The sequence below is a fragment of the Homo sapiens genome, chromosome 4 (assembly GCF_000001405.40).
Source record: "Homo sapiens chromosome 4, GRCh38.p14 Primary Assembly".
Taxonomy (NCBI): Eukaryota; Metazoa; Chordata; class Mammalia; order Primates; family Hominidae; genus Homo; species Homo sapiens.
In genome coordinates, this window is record NC_000004.12 from 1,173,891 (window position 1) to 1,184,347 (window position 10,457).

At 47.5% G+C, this 10,457-nt stretch overlaps 2 protein-coding genes across 2 annotated transcripts in view, besides 2 other annotated features; one reads left to right on the forward strand and one right to left on the reverse strand.

Annotated features, from left to right (window-relative positions):
• Positions 1–10,457, forward strand: part of LOC124900647 (nascent polypeptide-associated complex subunit alpha, muscle-specific form-like) — an 89,556-nt gene that overhangs the window by 60,252 nt on the left and 18,847 nt on the right. The gene's annotated exons all lie outside the window — the stretch shown is intronic.
• Positions 1–10,457, reverse strand: part of SPON2 (spondin 2) — a 41,913-nt gene that overhangs the window by 6,959 nt on the left and 24,497 nt on the right. Inside the window, exon 2 of the mRNA NM_001199021.2 lies at positions 5,558–5,651. The gene's annotated coding sequence lies outside the window, so the exon portion shown is untranslated. The remainder of the gene's footprint in view (positions 1–5,557; positions 5,652–10,457) is intronic.
• Positions 3,511–3,620: an enhancer, noted in NCBI's record as "active region_21145". NCBI's record gives its function as "activates an Ori minimal core promoter by ATAC-STARR-seq in GM12878 lymphoblastoid cells {active_cell/tissue: GM12878}" and the evidence as "EXISTENCE:reporter gene assay evidence [ECO:0000049][PMID:35858748]".
• Positions 4,548–5,048: an enhancer, noted in NCBI's record as "H3K4me1 hESC enhancer chr4:1172226-1172726 (GRCh37/hg19 assembly coordinates)". NCBI's record gives its function as "activates a minimal SCP1, AML or CMV promoter by ChIP-STARR-seq in naive H9 embryonic stem cells {active_cell/tissue: H9 hESC(naive)}" and the evidence as "EXISTENCE:reporter gene assay evidence [ECO:0000049][PMID:30033119]".

The window sequence follows — 10,457 nt, forward strand, 5'->3', positions numbered from 1 at the left end:
CTCCTTCATACTCTTAAAGGTCACTGAGGGCCAGGCGCAGTGGCTCATGCCTGTAATCCCAGCACTTTGGGAGGCCGAGGCGGGAGGATCACTTGAGCCCAGAGTTTGATACCAGCCTTGGCAACACAGGGAGACCTCATCTCTACAAAACATACAAAAATTAGCTGGGTGTGGTGGAGTGCGCCTGTGGTCTCAACTAGTCAGGAGACTGTGTCTGTGGTCCCGGCTACTCAGGAGACTGAGGTGGGAGGATCACCTGAGCCAGGGGAGGTCAAGCCTGCAGTGAACTGTGTGTGCCACTGCCCTCCAGCCTGGGCGACAGAGTGAGACTCATGCCTGTAATCCCAGCACTTTGGGAGGCCAGGGCGGGCGGATCACTTGAGGTCAGGAACTCGAGACCAGCCTGGCCAACATGGTGAAGCCCCATCTGTACTAAAAATACAAAAACTAGCTGGATGTGGTGGTGCACGCCAGTAATCCCAGCCACTCAGAAGGCTGAGGCAGGAGAATTTCTTGAACCCAGGGGGCAGGGGTTGTAGTGAGCCAAGATCGCGCCACTGCAGTCCAGCCTGGGCAACAGAGCGAGACTCCATCTCAAAAAAAAAAAAAAAACAAAAAAACAAAAAACAAAAACAAAAAAAACTAATTGAGGACACTGAAGAACTTTTTTGTTTGTATGGGTTATACCTATGGATACTTATCATTTTCTAAATCATAACAGAAATGTTCAGAATACTTGCCAATTCACTTAAAAATAAGAAAATATTGCTATTACACATTAACATAAATAGCATAATGTTTTATGAAAAGCAATCATACTTTTAAAAATGAAAAACCCGCCTGAGAAAAGTGGCGTGGTTCTACGTTGGTGCGAATCTTTGTATTGTCCGGCTTAGTGGAAGCTGGATTCCCATATCGGCTCCAGCACTTCATCTGCTGAGATGTGCTGTTGGTTGAAGTCTATGAAGAAAATCCAGCCTTGGCTGCGTATGTTACCAGCCTTGTCAGGTGCCTGCTCTGGCCTGCAGCCCTCGAAAGCCGCCGTGTGCCCATCAGAGCATGGGAGCAAAAGGTGCCCTCATGCAATGGGCTTCGATCTCATCATCTGCCTGGAAGGATCTCAGGCCCTCCACGAGTCCCCAGAGCAGGACTGGCAGCCGCTGCTCAGAGGCTGGACTCGAATCCACAGGCCTTTTTCCCAGAGCGGCATGGGGCGGCTGTACTGCAGCTACTCTGCATCCCTGGACAATCCTCGCTTTCTGGACAGCTTCCTCGGCTGAAAGGAGCACAGGCTCCATGGCAAAGCTACTGGCTCTGGGTCTGAGGAGAGGAAGGAGGCGCCGGGTCTGGGGCATGTTCCTGTGTAGGAAGCCAGGGTGCCGCTCCAGAGACTCGCTGAGGCACAGTCCCCATCTCAGTCCAGCTCTGGCCGTGGCAGCGGCTTCCAGGCTCACCCAGTCTCACAGGAGGCCAAGGAGGCTGCGGAACAGCCCAGGGGCAGCAGGAGCTGTTCTCCCAGCCCGGCCCTCATGCCGTCTCAGTGAGCTCTGCGACCTGGGGCCCCCACTTGGCGGTGGGCCCAGGCTGGGGGGTCTCCAGCTAGGATGTAGGGCGGTGGTGGGCCCAGGCTGGGGGGTCTCCAGCTAGGATGTGGGTGGTGGTGGGCCCAGGCTGTGTGGGGGGAGTCTCCAGCTAAGATATAGGGTGGTGGTGGGCCCTGGCCTGGGTGGGGGTTCTCCAGCTAGGATGTGGGTGGTAGTAGGCCCAGGCCTCGGGGGCTTCAGCTAGGATGTGGGTGGTGGTAGGCCCAGGCCTGGGGATCTCCAGCTAGGATGTAGGGTAGTGGTGGGCCCAGGCCTCGGGGGCTTCAGCTAGGATGTAGGGCAGTGGTGGGCCTAGGCCTGGGGGTCTCTAGCTAGGATGTGGGGTGGTGGTAGACCGAGGCCTTGGAGGTGCTCCAGGCAGGGCCACAGCTGATTTGTCTGGGAAGGGAGGGGGCTTGTTTGGAGGGCTGGAGTAGACAGCAGCCAGGAGGAACTTCCTTTGGTAGTGGGAGGCCCCTCCAAAAGCACGCCTGCGAAGGCCCTAGGGCACCAGGGGACATGGGAGCATTCTTTGCTGTGCTCAGAGAGGGGGACATGGGAGAACTGGGGCCAGGTGGGCTTAATTTTCTGGATCCTGTGGCCCCTTGGGTTGGATCGGGCTGGGGTCTCAGGCAGAGCTGTTTCTGCACTGAGGCAGGGACTGCAGGCCAGTGACGGAGTGATCTTGTGTGACTCCATGCTCTCAGAGTCTTGCTGGAAACCCCCCTGGCTCTCAGACCCTCTTCTGTGAACCAGAAGTCTCTATCCTGCCTTCTGCTGAGGGTCACAGGATAAGTATCCATAGGTGTAACTCACACACCAGCACTTTGCAAGGTGTCCCCCCACCCACACAGAAGAGTTCCTCTGTGCCCGCAGGCAGGAGCAGCCCCCCACATACACACACAGTACATTCATTCATTCACTCACACAGTACTTTCATTCATCCACCCATTCAAATAGTACATTCATTCATTCACTCACTCACACAGTACATTCATTCATCCATTCACACAGTACATTCATGCAATCATCCACACAGTACATTGATTCACACAGTACATTCATTCACTAATTCACTCACACAGTACATTCATTCAAGCATCCATTCACACAGTACATTCAATCATCCATTCACACAGTACATTCATGCAGTCATCCACACAGTACATTCATTCACTAATTCACTCACACAGTACATTCATTCAATCATCCATTCACACAGTACATTCATGCAATCATCCACACAGTACATTGATTCACACAGTACATTCATGCACTAATTCACTCACACAGTACATTCATTCAATCATCCATTCATACAGTACATTCATGCAATCATCCACAGTTCATTCATTCATTCACACAGTTCATTCACACACTTCATTCATTCATTCACACACTTCATTCATTCATTCACACCATTCATTCATTCATTAACCACAAGGTGAGTATTCCTTGCATCTCAGAGATGGGGACAAAGGAGTGACCCCACTAGGCCCAAGGTTGCAGGGGGCTGGGGTGGAGTGGATACATTTTGTAGATTGGATTCTCTTATTCAGTAAAGTGTTTAGTGAATTGGTTGACAGCAATGCCAGGGTCCTCTGAGGACAGGGCCTTCCTGGAGGTCACTTGAGCCACTTGCCCCAAGGTGGTTTTCAGGAGAGTGTGGCTCAAGGCTGTGGCTGGAGCCAGTGGCTGCTGCCTGTCTGCAGCTGGGCAGAGCAGCCCCTGTGTCCACATCCAGCTCCACCTGGCTGCCCTGCCACGGCCCCAGCAGGCACCCCCTTGTCTTTGACACCCCCTTAGTGCCTGCTGTGGTTGGGTAAGTGTAGACCACAGTGTGAGTAATCAGCGCCCACACTCCCAGGGTGTTGGCAATGTTTAAAAGTTGTCTTAACCAAAATGTGTTGCTAAGGTTGGACTTTTGGACAACCGCAGGTGCTGTGAAGCTCCTTTCCCAGTCAGGCATCGGGGGTGGAGTCTGTGCTGCTTAAATTGGATCTGAGCAGGCGGGTGTGGGGTTTCCATGGGTTTGTTTGTGAGCCGCGTGGAGCAGACGGCATACAGGAATGCCTGGCGAGCCTCCCCTAACTGCCACCCTGCTCTGTTTCGCCTCAGGCTGTGGCCCTGCCCCGGGCCCCAGAACCCAAGATCCCTTCAGGGGGCAGGGGTCCCAGCTGAGAAGGGAGAGGCCTTCTTTACCTTTCTGCATGGGTTCTGGCATGGGGGCCCTCAGGGTCTGGCATGTCAACGGCTCTTTCAGGGCTTGCCCACAGCCCCTCCCTGGGGCGCGGCACAGGCACCCAGGCCTGGCCCAGCAGCATGGAGCTCCTGGCCACATCTGCTGACACCACACCAGCTGACTCAGACGCGGAGTACCCACCCACGGGAGCGGCCGTCTCCTCCAGAGCACCCAGACTCCAGGATCAGTTTCTGGCTCCCCCAAGGGACCCTGCTGCGCATTTGAAAACCCACCTGAAAAGTCCTGTGTTTGCCAGCCCACCCAGACACATCACACTTGCTTGTCCACTCACGGACATGTACCAAGGGCCTCGCTCCGGCCAGGCACCACGGGCTCTGCACACACTGAGGGCCTCCCTCCGGCCAGACACCACGGGCTCTGCACACACCGAGGGCCTCCCTCCGGCCAGACACCACGGGCTCTGCACACACCGAGGGCCTCCCTCCGGCCAGGCACCACGGGCTCTGCACACACCGAGGGCCTCCCTCCGGCCAGGCACCACGGGCTCTGCACACACCGAGGGCCTCCCTCCGGCCAGGCACCATGGGCTCTGCACACACCAAGGGCTTTGCTCCGGCCAGGCACCATGGGCTCTGCACATATCTGCTTTCTAAAGGCTACTTTAGCCCTTGAGACTTCAGACTCGCAGGGATGGGGCCACATGGTCCAGTGGTTCTCCTGGCCCCCTCCCCCTCCCTCATCTTCAGACTCGAAGGGATGGGGCCACATGGTCCAGTGGCTCTTCCCGCCCCACTCTCCTCTGTCCCTCCTCTTCAGCACCCGCTGACTTCCTCCCTGGCCAAGACACCCCTGGCTGCTCACACCTCAGGGCCTTTGCACGTGCAGCTCTCCCTACCTAAAGGATTCTTCCTGTGCTGCCTTCTTCCTGCCATACAGGCCTCAGGGAGAACAGCTGCAGGCCCCACCCCCCACCCCCAGAGGAGTGCCTGGTCATACTCTGTCATGCCAGGGTTTTTTTTTCAATCAGAGCTCCTACAGAGAACTAAGCCTACCATAACCAGTGTGAGCAGACAGGGATTTACTATGGGGGCTAAGTGGCTTATAGAATTGTGAGGAGGGTTGAAGAGAGACTGTGGACTGAGTGTCCAAGGGTGACCTCCCACACTGCACAGCAGGACGGGGCTGCGGAGTGGCAGCTGGTCCCCCCTGTGCAGGAACCCGCCACCCCAGCAGCAGATGGCCACGTGCTCCTGTGTCCCTCTTGCCCACATGCCTCCATTCTGGATTCAGGTTTCTCTGAGCACTTCCGATTGATTGGCAGAGCCTGAATCAGGTCAGGGAATCCAGAGTCTTGGATTCAGCTTTGCAGCCTCTGCAGTCCAGGAGGACACCCAGAAGGAGGATGTGAATCGTGCCAGTGAGCTGAGCTGCAGCCCACACAGTGCTCATCCCCCTGCTCTTCTCTGACTTATTTAGCTGACGCTGAGTGGGGACCTTGCCCGGCTGCTTCACCTCTGGAAGCACGACTGCAGCCACCATGCCAGGCTCACGGGAGGGCCAGCAAACACAGCACTCACTCTTATCAGGTTTCACAGTGGCTCTTCCAGTCCCACCTTGCAAAGGAGGCCAGGTCACTGCTGGCGAGCCACAGATCTGGGAGGAGAATCTGCTGCTACTATCTGGTTCTAAATACTGTTTTTTCTCCTCTGTGCAACAGTCCGCCTCCCTCGAATATGAGCCTATCCATTTTCAGTGACACTTGCCATAGTACCTTTTTCTATCCACGTTAAGATGTCAAGACTGCAGCAAAAAGGGCAGCATAAGGACCTCTGAGAATTCTCATCTTCCTCCAAGCAGTGAGGAAACTGGCAAAAAATGTCAGAATACATTTTAAGTACTCTGGAAATTAACCAAAGGCGTGCAGCAATCTATGTAGGGTTATTTTATTTTATCGATAAAATAGGCTGAATCTTGGTAAGAACAGCATGCATTCCCACCCACCCCCTCCAGCTCTGTAGTAGCCTTAAAAATTAACAACCTACATTTGTGATAAAAACTAACAGCCTGAGCTGGAGCTCTTTCAAAGCCTCATTTCCAGAAAGTCATTATTATTTGACCTATCTGGTGGTTCCCTAGAAGACACCACTTGCAAAGCTGTCTGTTTCTGACTTGATTCAGAGCTTACCCAGCATGAAAAGACTTCTCCTGGGGCTATTGTTGAAAATAATAATTATAGGCAATTGATGAACTTTGCAGTTGCCCAAGGTGGTGGCTAACAGTTGGGCAAGAAATAGACAAACTGAAAAAAAAAAGGAAAATCTGGGAAGTGAGATGTCAATGGGGAGCTTTGAAAAAATCCAACCTATTTCTGAGAATCTAGAAGGCCACACATATTCCCAGGTCTGAGCTCCAGAAATACCTCAGAAGGCACTGAGCTCATACTTCTGACTGACCTTCAGGCTCTATGCAAGCAGGAAGTGAGGGCTACTGCAGAGTTGTTAACTGCCCGACTGAGTGTTGAAAGCATTCTCTAATGCATAGAACCTCAAAACAAAAACTGGGAGATGACTGGTTCTGGGCCTTTAAGGAAATCTCTGTCTGGCCATTAACTGACCACTAAGCTAACTGAGGAGAGACTTAGTGGCCACACATGGTAGATAATACAGATTTTGCATAATTAATTCAGAAAAGTTAATAATAAACTACAACAAACTCTGGGGGAATGGAGGTGTATCTGGTTTCTGGAGTTGCCACATTATACTATTTAAAATGTTCATTTTTCAACAAAAAATTGTGAGATGTGAGAAAGCACAAGAAAGTATGACCTACACATGGGGAAGAAAGCAATCGATAGAGACTGTCATTGAGGAAGACAAGATGCTGGATGTACCAGACAAATACTTTAAATTTATGGTCTTAAATATCTTCCAAGAACAAAGGAAAACTTTTCTAAATAATTTAAAGTATAAGAGTGATGTTTTACCACATAGAGAATATCAGTAAAGGACAGAAATTATAGAGAACCAAGTAGAAATTCTGGAGTTGAAAAGTACAATAACTGAATTTAAACTCTCACTAGAGGATTTCAACAGAAGATTTGAGCAGGTAGTGTAAAGTGTAAGTAAAAAAGGAAATAGGTAAATTGAAAGTATCCAGCTTGAGGAAAAAAGAATGAAGAGAACTGACCAGTGACTCAGAGACCTGTGTGACATCATCAAACATACAAACAAATGCAAATGCATAACTGAAGCCCCAGAAAGGGAGGAGGGAGATAAAGGGGCAGAAAATTATTTGATGAAATAATAGCTGACACTTCCCAAAGATAAAGAAAAATGTTTATCTACACATCCAATAAGCTCAACCAATTCCAAGTAGGGAACATGCAAAGAGATAGCCGCACTGACACACATCATTATCAAACCGTCAAAGCCAAGGACAAAGAGAGAATCTTGAAGGCATCAAGAGAGAAGCAACTCATCTCATACAGGAGATCCTTAGTTAGGTTAACACCTGACTTTTTACCAGAAAACATGGAGGCCAGTAGGCAGTTGGGTGACATATTAAACACATTGGAAAAAAAAATACTATCAACCAAGAAGTTTATATCTGAAAAAATAAAGGTGAAATTAAGACATTCTCAGGTAAATCAAAACCAGAGTCTATCACTAGGAAATCTGTCCTACAAGAAATACTAATGAGAGTACCTTAGACTGAAATGAAAGAACACAAGACAGTAACTCAAAACCACATGAAGAAACAAAGAGCACTGGTAAAGGCAGTGACATGGGGACCTAGAAAAGACATTCTAGGAAGATTCTGGGAAGATGGTGGAGCAATAAGCACCAGAAATATGTTTCCCTACCCAGACAACAATTGCACTGGCAGAATCTGTCTGATGTAACAGTTTTGGAGCTCTGGAGTCTATTGGATTGCAGCTTCCAGGAGTAGGTTTGGAGGCAAAATGCAGTTAATTTTGGCACAACAGCAGTCACCCATCCTCCCCACCAGCCCCAGCGCAGACAGTTATGCACATGTTCCTGTAGCAGTTTACAGACAGCTTTCAGGAGCGAGGCTGGCAAGAAAAAAGGATGTTGTCCTTCAGATATTTGGGATTGGTGTTCTGATTGCTGATTGCTGTTCTGATCACAAGAGTGCAAAGAAGCAGGTGCCTATTGTTTCACCTTCCCCCATTGTTGCAAGCTCTCCTGCACTGGATGAAGTGACTTCATTTTTCTCCTTTTCCCTTTTTGGAAGCCAGACATTAAAGACTAGGACATTCAAAAGCAGCTGCATGTATGGAGAAAGTTAGAAAGTGATATGGCACATACAGGCTCAGAAAAGACCTGAGAAGACCTTATGTTTGTACCTAACGCTGACCCTTGGCACAGAGAAAGCCTACAACAACAACAAAATGTAACAAAAAGCAACAAACCCCAGGGAAGGGGGAAACATGATTTTCAAAATTGTGATATTAGATTCAAATGTCCGATTTTCAAGAAAAAGAATCACAAGGCATACAAAGAAACAGGAAAGTATGGCCCATTTAAAGAAAAAAAGTCAATAGAAACTGTTCCTAAAAAGACCTGATTGATTATATATCTACTAGACAAAGACTTTAAAACAACTGTCTTAAAGATGCTCAAAGGACTAAAGGAAGTGTCAAGAAAGTCAACAAAAAAATGAATGACCAAAATTGAAATATTCATAAAAAGATATAAAACCTAAAAAGAAACCAAAAAGAAATTCTGAAGGTGAAAAGTATAATCATGGAAATGAAAATTCACTAGAGGGATTAAAAAGCAGATTTGAGCAGGCAGAAGAAAGAATCAGAGAACTTGAAGACAGGACAATGGAAATTATTGTCTGAGGAACACAAAGAAAAAATATTGAAGAAAAATGAACAAAGCCTAAGAAACCTGTGGGACACCATAAAACAGGGCAACATATGCATTGGGGGAGAAGAGAGACTGAAAGAGTCAGGAGAACATTTGAAGAAATAATAGTTTAAAATTTTCCAAATCTGATGAAAGACATGTATATAAACATCTAAGCTCAACAAACTCCAGGTAAGATGAACTCAAAGAACCCACACCAAGATACATCAAACTTTTGGAAGACAGATAAAAAGACAGAATCTTGAAAGCAACAAGAGGAATTACTCATCACATACAAGGAATTGCCACAAGATTATCAGCAGATATCAAAAACTTTGGAGGCCAGAAAGCAGTGGGCTGATATATATTCTGAGTGTTCAAGAAAAAAAAAACTAAGGACTCTATATCTAGCAAAACTGTCCTTCAAAAGTGAGAGAGGGCTGGGTGTGGTGGCTCACTCCTGTAATCCCAGCTGAGGTCAGGAGTTCAAGACCAGCCTGGCCAACATGGTGAAACCCCATCTCCACTAAAAATACAAAAATTAGCTGGGTGTGGTGGTGCATGCCTGTAATCCCAGTTACTCAGGAGGCTGAGGCAGGAGAATCGCTTAGAACACGGGAGGTGGAGGTTGCAGTCAGCAGAGATCGCACCACTGCACTCCAACCTGGGCAACAAGAGTGAAACTCCATCAAAAAAAAAAAAAAACAAAAAAGAAAGAGAGAGAAAATAAAACTTTAAACAATGAAAACAATGAGGGAGTTCACTACCTCTAGGCCTGCCCTGCAAGAAATGCTTAAGGAAGTCCTATAGGGTGAAATGAAAAGACACTAGACCATAACTTGAAGCTATATAAAGAAATAAAGATCTCAATAAAAGTAGATATGTGAGCAATGATAAAAGTTAGTATTATAGTAACACTGGCTTGTAACCCCACTTTTTTGTTTTCTAAATGATTTAAGAGAATGTGTTTTTTAAAAGCATGAGTCAAGAAGCTAGTATTCTCGTCACTTTGGTTTGTAACTCCACGTTTTGTTCATACTTTGAGCCTAATGCATTTTTTAAAATTATTAATTTATGTTTTGAGGCACACAGTGAATTAAGATGTAATTTTGTGACATCAGCAACTGAAAGAGGTAGGATAGAGCTGTAAAGGAGTAGAATTTATTGAAATTAAGCAGGTATAAATTTAAATTAGAGTTATAACATTAGAATGTTAAATGTAATCCCCATGGTAACCACAAAGGAAATAGCTATATAATGTACACAAAGGGAAATGAGAAAGGAATTTAAATATTTCACTTGAAAAATCAACTAAACCTAAAAGAAGACAGTAATACAAAAAATGGAGGACAAAAAACTATAACGCAAATAGAAAACAAACAGCAAAATGACAGATGTAAATCCCTCATTATCAGTGATTATTTATCTATTTTGTTAGTTATTTTGAGACAGGGTCTCACTCTGTTGCCCAGACTAGAGTACAGTGGCAAGATCATGGCTCAGTGCAGCCTCAGCCTCTCAGGCTCAGGTGATTCTCCACCTCAGCCTCCCAAGTAGCTGAGACTACAGGTGCATACCACCATGCCCAGCTAATTTTTCGTAGAGACCAGGTTTCACCATGTTGCCCAGGCTGGTTTCAAACTCCTGAGCTCAAGTGATTCACCCACCTCAGTCTCCCAAAGTGCTGGGGTTGCAGGCATGAGCCACTGCAACTGGCCAGTAATTACTTTAAATGAAAATGAATTAAACTCTCTACTCAAAAGACAGAGATTGGCAGAATGAATACACACACATAAT